General features: G+C 35.0%; 1 protein-coding gene across 7 annotated transcripts in view; it reads left to right on the top strand.

Moving 5' to 3' along the window:
• The window catches only part of AGMO (alkylglycerol monooxygenase), a 444,793-nt gene that overhangs the window by 192,707 nt on the left and 234,097 nt on the right, over positions 1-17,989 (top strand). For 6 of the 7 annotated variants that reach the window (XR_001744759.1, XM_017012204.2, XM_011515402.4 and 3 more), the window contains exons 11-12: positions 3,087-3,169; positions 3,690-3,795. Coding sequence is in view for 6 of the 7 variants with exons in the window: in XM_017012204.2 (XP_016867693.1) it covers positions 3,087-3,169; positions 3,690-3,795 (189 nt within the window). In the remaining variant the exon portion in view is untranslated. Of the gene's footprint in view, positions 1-3,086; positions 3,170-3,689; positions 3,796-12,206; positions 13,065-17,989 lie in introns of those variants that run through there. The other variant, XM_047420364.1, reaches the window with a different exon arrangement.

Genomic DNA, 17,989 nt, shown 5'->3' with positions numbered 1-17,989 from the left:
TCTCACATAAGCTTAAAAGGATCACTCTGCATGCTGTGGGTTGGGGGCTGTGGTAGGTGGACAGGCAATTTTAGAAGTAGGAAGACCAGTTAGGGGAGTATTTCAACAATTGTTGGGGAGATCATCTTGGGGTGGAATAGGGTATTAATTGTGCTGTTTGTAACACATGCTTTTATTCTGGATATATTTTAAATATATCTCTTGATATATTAGAAGTAGACAGTGACAGAAAAAGTTAAGGACCAGCCACAGGTTTTTGTCTTCAGTAACAGAAGGCTAGGAGGTATCATTTTCTAAGATGAAGAAAACTAGTGAATATATGTTGTAGAGGAGGAGCTCAAAGGCAGTGTTTTAGTCATGCCAAGTTTCAGTTGCCCGTTCACCAGTTAGAGATGTTGACTAGGTGGTGGATTCCTGCATCAAGTTGGTTTCCACTCTGAGTCCAGTAGTCAGGATGCAGTTTGGTAAAGAGTTATTTGTATTGTCCAGGGATCATAGATTTCCTAACCAAAGTAAATACATGTACTTATTTCATCTGTGAGTTTCCTGTGACATCTGGAAGAGCTAATTAGAACTTCTATTTATGCTTCTCAGTTGCTCATCTTATTGTAATTAAGATTAGCCTAAGCTCCTGAACATAGTAACAATAATACTAACCATGACCATCAATTGACTTTTTTACTCTGTGCCAAACACTCTTTTAAGTATTTAATAAGATTACAGTCCTTGCCAAACGCGTATTTTATTTCAAATGTACCAAACGCATAGCTGAGGCTTTAAAATGTCAAATAATTTGCTCATGTTTACATGGGTGATAGGTTTGAAAAACAAATTCTGTGTTCTTAAAGAGCATTTGCAATCATACTACAGATTTTGACACAAATCATTTCTCCCTTATATGTAAATTTTTCCCCGCCAAAACCACAATGAAGCAATATAGTGAGAGATGCCATTTTAATCAAACAAAGTAACAAACCTTAGTTACTTCTACCACCAGGAAAATATTTTTCTGGTTTTTTTTTTTTTTTGGTCTCATTCTTCCTAAGTGGACATCGCCGACCTTCACATATCAAAATATTAATAGCACTCTCTTGCTCTGGTCTAAGACATTCTGGCTTTCACTGACTCACCCATCCTGTATCTAATACCTATCATTGTGCCCCTATTCCTAAACATTCTAATCCTTTTGTATTCAGATTTTTGACCACTCAGCAATACTCTTCCACTAAAGTATTGCTTTGGAGGGTTTAAAATCTCTTGACAATTCTGGCTGCCATTCCAGGAAGTTGGCCGTGAGAGATGGGGCTGGTTTTTAAGAAGGTATGAAGCTACAGTACTGCATGTGAGCAAAAATTGTGACTGGTGGCTTTTGTTTACTGTGTATAACTTTGGACAGATGCAGTTGAGTTGCAAGTAAGGATATTAGCTAATAGGTGAAATTCCTTATATTCATTTCAAGGGGAAACAAAGGAAAGAGTGCTTGCATAATGTTTTGGGCACTATTTTAGCCAATCTGTTGTATCACACCTCTGGGTTTTCATAAAGATGGAACTTAAGCTCCACCAGTGAGTAGGGAACTCATCCAGGAACTGTGTCCAATACTTTGAATTTACTGATCCACTTTTAATCTGAAGTCGTATTCACCTGGCTCTAAACTTTGGCTATGTAATCTCAATTTAGACTTCTGCCATTAGCTCCTTTAAATCTATTGCTCATATGTATTCTACTGTCATCATGCTTTGTGATCAGGCAGGCCTATTTTGAGTTTCAGAGGCGTTATTTACTTTCTGTGTAATGATGGAAAAAGTTAGATAATCCTTTGTTTCCCAGATTGTTTGCGTTTTTTTAAAAATAAAGCCGATATAATGACAACTACTCTGCCAAGTTATTGGGAATGTAACAAAATTAAAGTACAAGAAACACATGCCATAGAAGCTGTAAAATAGTAGATGTTCAATAAACATTAAATTTTAATATATAAATTAAATGCATATTAATTTTATAATTCTGACAAAAATGTTTTGTTACAATGATTCAAAAGATAATTTTTTTTAAAAAATTATCATTTATTTCCAGTACATTAGGATAAAAACCCACTTTATGCAACTGTACCCTTTAATTCATTTTTCCTAAAGAAAAGTACAAAAGACCAGACTAAAATTGAGACAAATATTTAAAGGAAAGTCCTTTGACTGAGAGTCCAAAAACAAACTGTAAATGGTTCATTTTTCCAAAAGAATTAGTTTTTATACAGAATGTAAAGAATTTTAAACAATAAAAAAAGACTGCCGTACATGTACTTAAATTAGAATTCTAGTATCTGCTTTTCCTCTAATTCTTCTGGAGCACAAAGCATATTTGCAAGTTAGAAATCTAATAATCTCAATGGACAGACTGTCTTAGAATAAGCTTTTACCCTTAAGATACCTGGAAAGATAGTACTCATTCTTTCCCTTGGCTCAAAGTCCAATATATCAGTAAGTTTTAATTTAGTTTACAAAACTCTGCCATATTAACATGAAGAGCACACTAATGCTTAATGTTTAAGCGTTAAAAAGATAGCTTTTGACATGTATATATGAGCATGTAGATTGAATCAAATATGAGTGTATATGTGTAATCTCCTTTATATATATGTTTTCACTCATAAACACAGTCTCCTTTAAATATTTTCTATATTAGAGAAAGCTTTGCATTTGAAACCACAAAGATTTTGTTATACTAAAAATGGCTAATTAGAATACAGTATTTATACATTAAAATGTGAGTAATTTATCCATATGTGGGGACTCACATGCTTCAAAAAATTATAAAAGTCAAAACTTTAAAGGATAATTTTAAATGATGATGAACACTTTAAGCAAAATATCATTATGGAATTGTCTAATTCTCCAAGTGTCCAACAAGGAACTGAAAGACATTAAGAAAACCAAAATGTTTTCTGTGTAGTCAAGCTTTCTGTAAAGTGTCAATGACAAGTGGTGCAACAGGACATAAAATTTGGGCTGTTTTGTAAGCTTTAACCGTTCGTGTACCTTTTAACAATTCTTCTAACGGCTCCATTGATCTCCGTGTTTGTTTGACAGGCACTGTCGCAAGTTACTCTCCTTCTGAGGGTTTGCTTCATTATCCTGACCTTGACTTCCATTGGATTTCTTCTGGATCAAAGGCAAGAAGTGAAATTCTTGCATTGTTTTTACTTTTACTCAATTCAAGAATTTTCCACAGAGTGGTAAAATACCAGTATATTATGTAACTAGTGTAGTTTTAAAAATAAATATAAAATTTTGGTATTTGACTTCTCATTATTTTAGAGAAGTTAACTATATCAGTTCTCCTAACTACTCATTTTTTAAATGAATGAAGTATGAAGACATTAAATCAGTGAAAAGAGTCTCACTTACTTTAAACCCTAGAAATTTAGTTGCCTAATATTTATTAGCTGAAAATAAACTTCATAACTCATCAGTGCTCAAACTAAGCAATATGTTGATGAAGAACAGATTTTCCCGAAAAAGATGAGTGTTCTTTCTTAATCACTGTTTTCAAATTGCTTCAGGGGACATGCTTTTCAAATATATTAAAATACTAGGTATTTCTTGAGAATGAGAAGTTTATATTAATTATAACATGTGAACATATAAAGAGCATATTTAAAGCTAATGCATGTTAATGACATTTTATTTCAGACCCAAGGCAGCTATTATGGAAACTCTCCGTTGCTTGATGTTCTTAATGCTGTACCGATTTGGTCACCTGAAGCCTCTTGTCCCTTCATTGTCATCTGCTTTTGAGGTAAGACATTTGTTTAGGTAGCCACAGGATGGCGTATACCTATCGCACATTTAATTTATTCATTCAAGGATGTTTTCTCTACTTCATTTCTGACCAGTACATGTGGGAAATCTTGATCTTTTTTTTTTTTTTTACTTACCAGTACTTGTTAGTTGTGTCATCTGAGCTAGTTAATATTGCTGAGCCACAGTTTTTTGGCCCGTAAAGTTGGATTGATATCATCAACCTCATAGAGTTGTTGGACACATTACATTACACAACCTTTATAAAGAAATCAGACCATGTAGTAGGTTCTCAAGAAGTGGAAGAATTGATTTTACAAGAAGTTTTTGGCAGAGACTCTGCCGTTTGAGATTTTTTTAAAGCTTTTAAGGTGAAAATTGCAATCAAGTTTCCTTGTCAATTACCTGTAAAAAGTAATCATTCTACAGAAATAAAGTCACTGAAGTCAGTGGGATTTTTCTACAGCTGAAAAATATGTTCTTCTGTGATGGTTAATTCTTATCTTCCAAGAACTGCATTGAACTTTTGGGTCTATATTTATTGTTTAGAATCTAGGCAGCTGTTAAAGACATTTATTTTCTCATCACTAGTGCATTAATAGAGAGTGTATTATGTTTGCAATTCAGGGTTATATTGTTTAACTTTGGTGCCAAGACACCTGCCAACATCACCAGAATGTGCAATGTATAACTTTATTTAAGCATTAAACATAAATACTAATATCCCCCGCTCTTAGCATCAGTGAAAAACCCAGTATATACACTTTCATTATTTAATATTGATTATGAATTGAAACAACTCCTTTGGAGGTAATTTGGAGATATCTATCAAAATTGCAAATACACATACCCGTTAACCCGGCATTTCACTTCTAGGAATTGGTGCTACTGAAATGATATACTCACACACGCGAATCGGTGTATATGCAATATTATTCCTTGCAGCATTATTTGTCATGACGTAAGATTAGCAACAACTTAAAGGCCATGAATGGAGGACTATTTGAAATTATTATTCATTAATAAAGTAGTAAAATATGCATCTATAATAATAACACAAGAAACCCTTTAGTACCAATAAGGAGCAATCTTAACAGTAAAACATGATACAGGATTCTCTGTGAAGTATCCTGCCATACAGTGCACATAAGTATAAAAACAGGGAGAGGGAGATATCGGTATATAAATATATAAATGTATTTTATTGTATGTATGTAAATATATCTAGGAAGATAAACAAAACCTAACATGTTGCTTGTGGGAAGAAAAGGTGAATTTTGTGGTTAGAAGAAAGGAAGAAGCAGAAGATTCTTTATTAATATTCTTTGATACCTTTAAAACTTCTCAACCTCTAAACCATAGGGGTATATATACACATTATATATATAATGTGAATTTAAACCGTGAAGCATACTATCTTAGTATCAGGATCTTGGATATCATCTAATTTAATATATTCTGCATTACAGTTGATTTAATGTGTATGTTCATTTTGTTTCTTCAAATTATAACCTAAAAGCAAAATAATCATAAATTATACATATTTAATAAAATTCAGAAATATACATGCTGAAAAAAATCATAAAATCAAAGAAAATGGCACTTTAACACCTTAGATGAGGGGCACATTCTAATTTAAGGCATGAAAGACAATAATTTCATTTAATGAGAGTACTCTTAGGTTTATGGTGATAGTTTATCTTACACACACCAGAAGGAAATAGAGAACATAGGTTCCTTACATTAGCCAGTGTTGTAAATATGTGGGAATGTTTGCTTACAAAAACATACTGCATTTGGTATTCTTTGATGATGAGATGGTGGAGGGCAATGTAGTATGTCCAGCTTTTAAGTGTGATGAACGCTAGTGATAAGATGATGGCAGTTTACTTATTTAGTTAATAGATAAAAGTAAATGGTAAAGACTTGAACTTTGAAGCCGTATTGCCTGAATTTGATTCTTGGCTTAAGAACTAAGTAGCTATGTGTTCTTTGGCAATTACTTCACCACTTACCTATTCTTGGTCTTGCTTTGCTCGTCTGTAAAAGGAGGAAGTATAACATCCATCTAAGTAGGATTTTGAGGATTAAATAAGAGAATATGTGTAAGGAATTGAGCACAGTGATTAACACATAGTAAGTGCTCCACAAAAGTTAGGCACTGTTGTTACTGTTATTTTATATGAACTTAAGGATCATTTGAAATAACTATTTGGCCTTGGCCTGCCTTGAGATCCCCAAGTCAAGTTTGGAGACAGCTAGAATGAGAAGTGGGGAAGAACAACAATGTTGAAGGAAAAGTCAGTGCTATGAATTCTTGGTCCTGACACTGTATCTGTGACTTTGGACTCTGTGCCTCAGGTTGTTCAACTGTAAAATAGGTTTTATAAGAGCTAACATGCATTGAGCTCTTACTACGTTCTAAATGCCTTACTAGTATTATTCCATTCAGTATTCATATCAAACCTATGATGTAGTTACTTCCATTATCTTCATAATGAGAATATTGAGGGGTGTACACAACTTGTCTAAATGCACATAACTATTAAGTGAATAAGTCAGGGAACAAACTCAGGAAGTCTGACACTATAACTCTTAATGATCAAGGTACATTTTCGTCCATGTAATGATGATAATACTCATCTACCTCAAGCCTTGTGGCAAAATATAGCAAAAGTAGCTTGGAAAATGTAAAGAGCTATAGTAAAATGTCTTATCAATTTAACTGCAAAAGAATTTTGAAAAGACACGTGGTTTGAATAATTTACCTCTGGATTATCTTTGGTTTATGATCCAAGGAAAAGAGGACCTCATGGAAAAATCTTTCAGGGTGCTTAGCTACTCTTTCCAGAAACTGCTTCTGTCCATCTGGGCACATGCACGGCCAGTTCTTCAAGAGTAGATGTTGCCTGGGACTTGCCACTGGAATTTTTCGTTAAAATGTTAAAACAGTATTTAATTCACATGGTTTGGTGGAAAAATGAAGTGCCACAAAGGAGAGAACATAGGAAGAAATTGATAAATTACAGTTATCATTGTTCATATTACCATTATTAGAGTGTTACTATTATTATTATTAAAACCACAAGCCATTAATGATTAAACTTGAGCAAGTCTTCTCTGTTGAGAGGTCAAGTGAGATGGCAACGTAAGACTGGATAAATATTTTGCTAGCAATCTTTTTTTAATCTGGAAAGTAGCCTTTCCACTTCTTTTTAAAGCTAAACATGGTAAAAATTACAACCAGTTACCAATTCTTATATTATTAATTATGAATTTCAAATCTGTGTTTTCTTCATATTTGTATCTCTTAAAACTTTATGTAAATCTTTGCCATTTACCTGAGTTTTAATAAAACTGTTCTTTTATTAAAACTGTTCTTCAAACAATAAGTATAGAAACCTAATAAATGGCCTCAGTGACTCCAGTCAATATGAATTAGGGCTGACTGACTAGGAGTGATTGTACTATAAGGACACTATATTCTCTTCATTTTTCTTTGAAGCTATCACTAGAATCAATGTCAGTGAAGCAATAAATCCCCTTTCTCCTATAATATAAATCAATGTTGTATATATTGGTAGCATCAGCTTGCAACCCTGTGACTCTTCTCTATCTAGAAGGCTAGCTGGAGGTTTTCTGTTGTATTATTTTATTATATAAGTCAAACTTAGTAAGTCTGCATGGTAATAGTCTTCCTACATTATTTGGGAGGTGTGTGCCTATCAAATTTATAGTTATCCTCTTTCTGGCAAAGTTATTTATCTGTTTTGCATAAACTGTTCGATGCGGAGAAAATAGATTGTAAGAAGATATAACCACACTTCATTAGTGGTTATGTTGATGTGCTGTTACCTAAATGGTTTTATTCTTTCTCTCTCTCTTTCTTTTTTTTAATTTGGTGATGAATGTATTCTTTAATGAGCATAGATGTCCTTTAATCTAAATCTCAAAACCTTTTTTTTTTTTTTTGAGACACAGTCTCGCTCTGTTGCCCAGGCTGGAGCACAGTGGCGCGATCTCGGCTCACTGCAAGCTCCGCCTCCCAGGTTCACGCCATTCTCCCACCTCAGCTTCCTGAGTAGCTGGGACTACAGGTGCCCGCCACCACGCCCGGCTAATTTTTTTGTATTTTTAGTAGAGATGGGGTTTCACCATGTTAGCCAGGATGGTCTCAATCTCCTGACCTGGTGATCCGCCTGCCTTGGCCTCCCAAAGATCTTTTTTTTTTTTTCAACTAAGTTCACATGTTCAGAGTTTTGTGATAGGTACTGAGAGGAAATATTTGAGAGATATGGCTGCATGACCCTAGAGTTGTCACAGTTTCAGTCAAAGACACCATTGTGCTGATGACAGTGACAGTGAGCAGCCCACTGTGGAGAGACGCTGCTTCTAAGCTGTGTTAGCAGTGTCCTATGGCTCCTATTCATATAAGGCATCACTTAGTAACAAATGATTTCCAGAAACCAGGATTCTTTAAAAATGCCAATATTCTAGCTATAGCTGGCTGGCATCACTAAGGTGAAGAAGGCATGGGAATTATTTTGCCTGCTTATTTCTGCTTTATTTATAATTTATCTGGTTTTTTCTTCTTATTTTCATGAGGATCATAACCTGATTTTATCTGCATGTGTTCTCAGGTGTGGGCATGAGGGCATGCGTACGTACTCTTTATTAATCTCAGAACTGCCTGCCTTAAGAATTGACCATATCCTGGCAGTTATTATAGCTTTTGGATCCAATTGACCCTTAAACAACAAGGGTTTGAATGCACAGGTCCATGTATATGTGGATTTTTTTTTCAATAAATATTACACTAAGTGTGCCTGTCTCTCCGGCCTCCCCTTACACCTCATCCACCTCCTCCACCTCCTCCAACCTCTGCCACTCCTGAGATAGCAAGGCCAAACCCACCTCTTCCTCCTCCTCCTCAGACTACTTAACATGAAGATGATGAGAAAAAGAGACCTTTATGATGACCTACTTCTTCCTTATTATTTTCTTAACATTTTCTTTTCTTTAGCTTTATTGTGAGAATACAGTGTATCATACATTCAGCATACAGAATATGTGTTAATCGTCTGTTCATGTTACCACTAAGGTTTCTGGTCAACAGTAGGTGATTAATAGCTACATTTTCCGGGGAGGTGAAAGTTATAGGCAAATTTTTGACCGCACGGGGGGTTGGCCCCACTAACCTCCGAGTTGTTCAAGGGTCGAGTGTACTTATTGCTAACGATGTAATACTTCCTTTGAAGCTTGTAGTTATTTTAATTTTGTTATCAGTCATTCCAACCAGATTTTTGAGTACCTCTGTCTGCTTTCATTTCTCTTCTGCATAATGAGAATAATAAAAGTAGTACCTACCTTGGTGGGTGGACATGTGGATTAAATAAGATTATACATACAAAAAGTACTTATAATAATGTCTGTAAATGTGCGTGCAGTATGTTGTGCCTACTCCGCCAAAAGCTTCAGTACAACTAACATTACCACTCCTATAATTACTACTGAGAATATAATAAAAGCACAGGCTGTAGGGCACATGTGATGATTCTTAGTAAGGAACACATAAGTTCTCCTTTTCCCAGTTAGTTTCTCTGAGTATTAAAAATGTCTTTGGAACATGAATTTATAGTATTTTTCTATAATTCAAATACACTATCATATGGAAAGGTTTCAGGATTTTTTGTATTTTATGATTTCATATATCACAAATTAGTCATGATTGCAGTGACCATGTAACATACAATAAAACATTTTATTTAGAACTTGTTTGGCAAATGTGGATTACTCAACCCAGCTTAGTGAGAAATGAACCAGGGGTAGGAGTTTAGTTGTTGACGTATTTTAGGATAAATAAAATGATGGCTCTAAGACACAGCAGATAACTTTGCTTCTAACTGAGTTGTATGAAAGATTACCTTTGTTCATTGGACTCATATTTAAGAACTGCTTGCAAAAAACTTTACTTCTACAAAAAAACATACATGATATATATGTAGGCCACTTTGACTCTTCTCAATGTTTATATTTAAGGTATTTCATTTTAAAAAATGTAAATATATTTCTTTTAAATGAAATGTTTTCACTACAGTAATAGAAAACCACACATTAGAAACACCCAAAGCATAAATTTAAAATGTCATCAATTTATGAGCAAAAATTAAAGTAAATATGAGTAAAAATAATAAATCTAATTTCTTTTTTTTTTTTTTTTGTTGAGACGGAGTCTTGCTCTGTTGCTGAGGCTGCAGTGCAGTGGCGTGATCTCGGCTCACTGCAAGCTCCACCTCCTGGGTTCATGCATTTCTCCTGCCTCAGCCTCCCGAGTAGCTGGGACTACAGGTTCCTGCCACCATGCCCAGCTAATTTTGTGTATTTTTAGTGGAGACGGGGTTTCACCATGTTAGCCAGGATGGTCTCAATCTCCTGACCTCATGATCCGCCTGTCTTGGCCTCCCAAAGTGCTGGGATTAAATCTAATTAATTTATAAAACTCCATATCTGAAAATAAAATCCTTATAAAAATGGCATTGAATAGGATCATCCAGTAATATGGGGATATTTATCTTAATGCCATTGTTAAAATCGCTTCTATCATTTCCATCCCAACCCCTGCTTTATTTTAAAAATGTTACATTTAGGTCATCATCCCCAATACTTCAAGGAATAAAGGCAAAGCAAGCAAAATTAAGACAGGTAGAACAGACCTAAAACTCAGAGAGGCGCTTCCTTGTCCTTCTCTTGCTGGCATTGGGTGACAGAGATTTACCACAAAGACATGTTCTGGGAGTTGCTGTTAATGTCAGAGAATACATGAATTTGAGTTATCTAGGAGTGGGTTTGGGTTGCTTCCTTCTCAATGGTTCAGAAGTCCCTGCTAAGCTCAGGAGAGTGGAAGTTTAAGGTCTTTTTATCTTGGGGAGGGACTGAGTTTGGAGTGCAGAAAATCCCACCTGCATCTAAGAAGGGAATCCCTGGAGGGATTCTTACCCTCCTAATTCACAGTTCTGACTGAAATCACGGAGTACCAACATTAATTAGTACGTATCTCACCCTTTAGGAAACACCCTACTTGTCTTCCAACTCTGCAATCTAATTATTATGCCTTCTTATTATCCTTTCCACGTTATCATCTCGTCTGGGCAGCTCTTTTGAAAAAGCATTAACCCAAGGTTAACAATTTGCTGCCTCAGCCATTTTATGTGCAGAAGAAACCAATACTCAAAGCAGCAACCTTAAGACTCTTCAATTTTTATTGATCTATTCAATAAATATTAAATGTGCACTGACAATTCCTGCTATGTAGCTGTTACATGCCAAACTTCAGAAGAACACGTTGTAATTTCAACTCTTAAATAGAATGGTGAATTAAATGTTCATTGACTTCAAAATGCAAGGGATGCATATTCAGATGTCTCGTTTTACCCAGTTAATATGTCAACATATATGTATCAGATAATGAAGGAAGATTCAACAGTTCTTAGCAAACTTCATACTTTCATGGGTTCTTCCTTTTCCTGTCTTGCTTTTTTTCTCTTCCTTTCTTTTCTTTGGTATGTATATATGTGTTTATTTGGTAAAATTCAGGCTTCCTTGGCATTTATCTGTTTTTGCATGACCAAGCCAAAACTTAATGGCTTAAAGCAAATGAAGATTTATTATTTCTCACAATTTCTGTGGTGTTTTCTCTGCTGCGTTCACCTGGGCCTACTCATTCAGCAGTATTCCACATAATCAGCTCAGATAAAAGCGAATGTGGAAAGACTTCTCTCTGGCTGTCAAGGGAGCGCACTGTTTTCTGTCCGCATAGCCTCTCACCCTCTAGTGGGCCAGGCCAAGTTCTGTACATTGCAGTTGCAAAATCTGCAAGGCTGAAGACTGCATTTGCAAGGCTTCTTGAAGCCTAGGCTCAGAGACTCTATATATTTCTGCTACATTCCATTGGTCAAACAAATTATCAGACCAGCCGAAAATCAAAGGGTGGGGAAATAAACTCTTTTGATTTGAAGAGCAGTAAGATCAATTGCAAAAGGGCACACATAAATTTATGGCCTTTTATCCGTCTACCACGCTGAGGTTTTATTTATTACTTGGGTTCATCTCACGGTGGTGGTTAGTGTATTGTCATCACAGAATGTTTGTCTGAAGTCATCCTAAATGAGTCATTTCAACTGTTTATCTGGCTACAAGATGAATGTAAGGAATAGACTGTCCTCAACAATGTTTCATGGTAAGTATGCTAGTCTGCTATATACGTACTTTTGGGTTCAAGGTGAAACACACACACACACACACACACACACACACACACACACGAATATTCATAGTATAGAGCAATTTTGACTCATCTATTTCAGTATTATCCAAATGTCTATTTTTTTCTTTTTTTTTTTCATGAGACAGAGTCTCGCTTCTGTGCAATGGTGCAATCTTGGCTCACTGCATCCTCCGCCTCCCAGGTTTAAGCGATTCTCCTGCCTCAGCCTCCTGAGTAGCTGGGATTACAGGTACCTGCCACCACACCTGGCTAATTTTTTTTTTTTTTTTTTTTTGTAATTTTAGTAGAGAGGGGATTTCGCCATGTTGGCCAGGCTGGTCTCGAACACCTGACTTCAGGTGACCTGCCTGTCTCGGCCTCCCAAAGTGCTGGGATTACAGGCTTGAGCCACTGCAACCGGGCCCTAATATTTTTATAAAGTGTACAAAGTTTGCATTTATAAGTAGTAGCTATATTAGTTTTATTTAATATTTTTAATCACATTTTTTCATATAGCATTTGAGAGATATTAAATTAGATACATTTTTATAAAAGATAAAATAAACACCATTCTAAATAAAATTATATAATACCAGTCAAGTATTAATAACACTGTATTATCTGCTGTCTGTGTGATACCACTCATATTTCCACAGATAGAACAGTTATTTTGTACTTTGTGCTTATCATTTCCATGATTTTAATTTTTCAGATTTTCTTCAAGGTATCATTAAGCAATATATTATTTCATTTTTTAAAATTTGTGAGTACAATAAAATGGTATCTTATATACTATATATGGTTTCTTATATATAGTTTCCTATGCTATATAAAATTTCTGCAAAAATGTTTATTTTTAAAATGTATTCTTTTTGTTGCCTGTACTTGTATCCATTTCTATTCCTGTAAATTGGTTCACTGTTGACTATACATATCTGTCTATTCTCTAGTGTTTGTTTCTATTTTTTTCTATTGCAATGCTGCAATAAAAATTCATCTACACATCTAGTGCACATTGCATGTATGTAGAGTTTCTCTAGTTTATACATCTAGATGGGAATTGCTGGATTGTAGCAAATGTGCTTGTTTAAATTCTTTAGCTGATGCCAAGTTGTTTTCCAAGTGATTATAAAATGTCCTTCTATCAGTGGACCTTTCCTCACCGAAGTTGTAATTGTCAGATTTCTAACCTATTGTCCATTTGGGAAATTAAGTAGTATCTGATTGTATTTCTAATTACTATTTTCTGTTTACTATTGAAGTGGGTGGATCATTATGTTTGAAGGAATTTGTGTTTCCTTTTCTGTGATTTTTTTGTACCTTTTACCCATTGTTTTCTTTTTCTTGATTTTTAGAAATTCTGTGTATGATTATAATATCAGTCCTTTGTCATTTATGTTTATTGAAAGTATCTTCTCCCAGGTTGTAGTTTGTCTCATCACCCCTGGACTGCACGCAAATGGTTTTTATTTCCACAGAATAATTCCATATAATACAATACTCCCCTTTATGTATGAAGATGGTACTATTATACCATCCATTATTATTAATTCAGATAGACATCAATTTTTTCCATATAGTGCTGATATATCCAGCTACAATTCCTCCTCTAACAACCAGTTTCCATTTGTACAACTCCTGGGGAGGGTTATGAATACAGGCTATAATTATGCAAAAATATTAAGCTAATACATAATTTGAATTAATTCCATGATCTTACCTTCTTTTTTTTTTTTTTTTTTTTGAGACAGAGTCTCACTCAGTTGTCCAGGCTGGAGTGTGCAGTGGCATGATCTGGGCTCACTGCAAGCTCCACCTCCCAGGTTCACGCTGTTCTCCTTCCTCAGCCTCCCGAGTAGCTGGGACTACAGGCATCCGCCACCATGCTTGGCTAATTTTTTTGTATTTTTAGTAGAGACAGCGTTTCACCGTGTTAGCCAGGATGGTCTCGATCTCCTGACCTTGTGATCCGCCCGTCTCGGCCTCCCATAGTGCTGGAATTATAGACGTGAGCCACCGTGCCCAGCCAATATTGGCTTCTTTAGCAAGATTTACTGTTTTAATTTTAAGTGCACAGATGATGATTTTTCTCTATTCTTGTATAGGGGAGGATACTCACATTTAAAATTAATCCCAAATTCACCCTACATCATATCAAAATTTCTGAAACATTGGAAAATCTATGTCCATGGTACTATGTTAGTGAGTGCAGGAATCTTCTCTTCAATAGGCCAAATATTTATCATTTTACCTGTTCATTAGCCATGTATAAGTGAGCATAAGCCACTTCATCCTAGCATAGTCCCAGATTGTATCCCTTTTATATGCTATAAATTAACATATTTGAAAATTACCTTTATGTAACATATGAGAATATATTTTATAGGATATAATATATTTTTATTTTTAGAAAACAAATTCTCGTGAATTACGAGAAAAAATTCAGGGAATAGCGTAAAACGTAAACACTGGGGTTATTAGCAGATCCTCTTTGATATTTTTGTGTTAATATAATAAAGCTTTGCATTTCTTCTTCTTTCTTAACTTCTAACTCAATTTGAGTATCCCGCCACTTAAAAAATTGTTTTCTTTCACTTACCACCCTTATGAATATTTTTAGAATATAAGGGTATAGTCTTTCTCAAGATGTATCATTCCATCACATGCAATTAACAAATGTTTACTGTTGCAGGTCCTATGAGGGGAGCTATATATATATATATATATATATATATATATATATATATATATACACGTGTGTATATACACACGTGTGTATACACACACGTGTGTATACACACACGTGTGTATACACACACGTGTGTGTATACACACACGTGTGTACACACACGTGTATACACACACGTGTATACACACGTCTATATACACACGTCTATATACACGCGTGTATATACACGCGTACGTATATACACGCGTGTATACACGTATATATATTTATCTCATTCGTGATATACATCTATCATGTACACATTTTTTACTGTTCTGTAATGGTACATAGAAAATAACTGATGGACTGAGTTGTGGGGCTAAGTTGAAGGTGAAAATAAGCCATTTGGGGTGATTTATTTGTGGTCTCCTTTAAAAAAACATTGTCCTCTTCCTGTATTCCTTCTAAAAATGGTCACTTTTTCTTTCCATGAACAACAAAATACTTGGAAGTAAAATTAAGCAATATTAGAACATAGTATTGCTTCTCTGCTTTATAAAAGACTAGTTTTGACACAGTAAATTGCAAACTATCACATGAAATTTTCCAAAATGTATTGGCTTTGTATGGGTTTTTAAAATACTGAATCCACACCTAAGAGAATAATACATGATAGTTTTCTATGCATCATCTTTATTAAGGCAATTAAAAGACACAAATATAGCTTATATTCTTACTCACCTGTCCCTTCTCCCATATGCTGTTATTTTTAAAGTACCAACACAGGCATCCAACAAGTGCAGTTGCTTTTGCAAATAATACTTTGTTCAAGTAGATGTCATTTTCTACTATTTGTTCACTGTCAGTTTAATGTATTTTAATATTATGTCTATTTTGAGCAACACTAATATATATTTCTGATTCACACATACTGCAATCATCAGAACATAGGTGTTTTCGGAAAAATTTCACGTCCAAAAAATACTGAGTTTTTTAAAAAAGTATTTTAAATACATTTCTTTTTTCTTTTAGTTGAGTAGTTTTGTTTCATTTAGTCTTGCTTTTGTGCTTGTTTTACTTTGGTCTGAAAACAGGCAGGGATTCCCCCCAAGAGTAGATCAACTAAGAGCAAACATGTTGAATTTAGTTTAACATCATAAGCCTAGGAATTTTGAGTGAGTTATAACATGAATACAATCCCCATTAATTAGATTGTTTGGATAAAAAGAGATTTGAGAATGTTAGAAATCCAGCTTTCTGCATGGCTTGTTCTTCACCAAGGAACCAGTTTCCACCCTGTTGACACATCTCTACATTTTTCATGGCTGTCCTATTATTACATGACTTATTCGTGGATGTAATCTACCAACGTCAGCGTGGTGAATTACGAGCAGCAGCTTAAAGTAAACATCATTTACTCCTAAGAAGTTATTTCCACCCTTGGTTTTCTGCTGGACATTTAAAAAAGAACCCTGCCCCCTTCCCACCTTTTTAAAAATAATCACCTGTCCTACATTTGAAATAACAAAGGGCCTGCGTTTCACCTCCTTTCGTCTGAGTGTGCCGTGCGCAGTGCTATGATTTATGACCTGCGCATCCGACACTCCCCATGCAGTAACAAGATGGCCGCTGCGTTTGAAATATATGCCCCAAATGAAAGTAAACACAATCTTATGATATAGAGCCATGTCAGCACACAAGGAATTAAACACATACACGTTCTAATTTTTAGCTTTTGTTTTTGCATTGTCTTTAATAGCGAAAACAGGTGAAGATCTGTAAGTGGACAGATTTCAGATACTAGATAATGGCTCTAAGGAGAATCCTGTCGCTGAGAAAAAGGCGCATGGATATTTGGCAGACCGTCAACGTGGTTTCCACTAGTACATGACAGGGACTCATTATGGGCTTGCTGTTGCCTGTAAGCTGGTTTCCCTACCATCAACTCAAGGCCAGAATGTCTGGTTCCAGATGCTCCCGCCAATTGACCGTAAAATTGCCACGCATTTCTGGCCAAGCCTGAGATTTTAAAAGCACCACCCCCTCCCCTGAACACCCAAACGCCCAGTTCCCTCTGAAAAGCTGCTCATTATTCTTCCTTTGCACCCTGATCTAAGGAAAAAAAAAAAAAAACATACTTCTGGAATCAATTAGAAATGTCTGCCCTTGATGAGGTTTGCACGTGAGTTTGTAGTTGTGAGACTGTGATAGTGGCAGCCAACAGCTGCAGTTTCAGGCGGTAAAATCTGAGAAGGAATTTTCCAGGGTTTATTTACCGTCATAAAAATTTTTTAAATAGGCAGGACAAGTAGGGAGGCCATCTTATATGCCTTTGAAAGTGAAGTTAAATTTGGATTGTATATTTATTTCATCCATAATGAGCAAACTGAAGATCTATGGCGGGGTGATCTTTCGATTCCCCTAACAGTCCGTGAAATGGTTCTAAATACTGGAAATAGAGGTCTTCTTGCTATAGCTTAATGGTAAAAGAGCATTTGTTATTTCTTCTGTCATATTAACTGCTTGACAAGAGTCAAGGTTAATAGAAATCAAACCCATTTTCTGAAGATAATGTGAATTAACAAGCTATTTATTTGCAGATTCTAATGTAAATGCTATCTGGGCTTTATTAGGTCAATATTACCGAATTCATATGTTACTGTGTAACAATAAATATTCCACATGATTCATAATCCATAGTGCTATTCATCTTTGTATTTTAACACTTTCTCAATGATTCATTTAAACAGATTTAAAAATAATTTGCATAATATGTTTGCTTACTGTTTTTATCTCTAGCCGTATACTTTGTTATTTTTAAAAAGAATTGCATTTGATAAGCTGCTATAAATTTATTTTTATTTATGTGTCCACTTAAAATGTAGTAGCTGCTATTGCATGAACATGTCATTATTTTCCTAAAGCCAAATTGAAAAGCATGGTAACAACTCAGCTATCTGGATTGTCACCTGGCACTTCCAAGTATTTAGACTTTCTTTTTTACAAGATACGATGTACATGATACGCACATGATATCCTTCCTAGATGTCTGCTTTTTTCTTCTGCTGGCTAAAAATCAGAGGCAATTTTACATGCACATTTTTATTACTAATCACTCATGCCTTTAAGAAATGCTATCAAATTCTCCTCACCCCTGAGAATCACTGTTAAATATAGGGGTTTAGCTTCCTGAACTACCTCTTCTGTAATCAAAATGGTATTTTAAGTATATGTTATATCTCTTTCAAGTCTTGCAATTTC

This window comes from Homo sapiens, chromosome 7, assembly GCF_000001405.40.
Source record: "Homo sapiens chromosome 7, GRCh38.p14 Primary Assembly".
NCBI lineage: Eukaryota > Metazoa > Chordata > Mammalia > Primates > Hominidae > Homo > Homo sapiens.
Note: the sequence above shows the minus strand (reverse complement) of the source record. Positions and strands in the feature narration are given on the sequence as shown.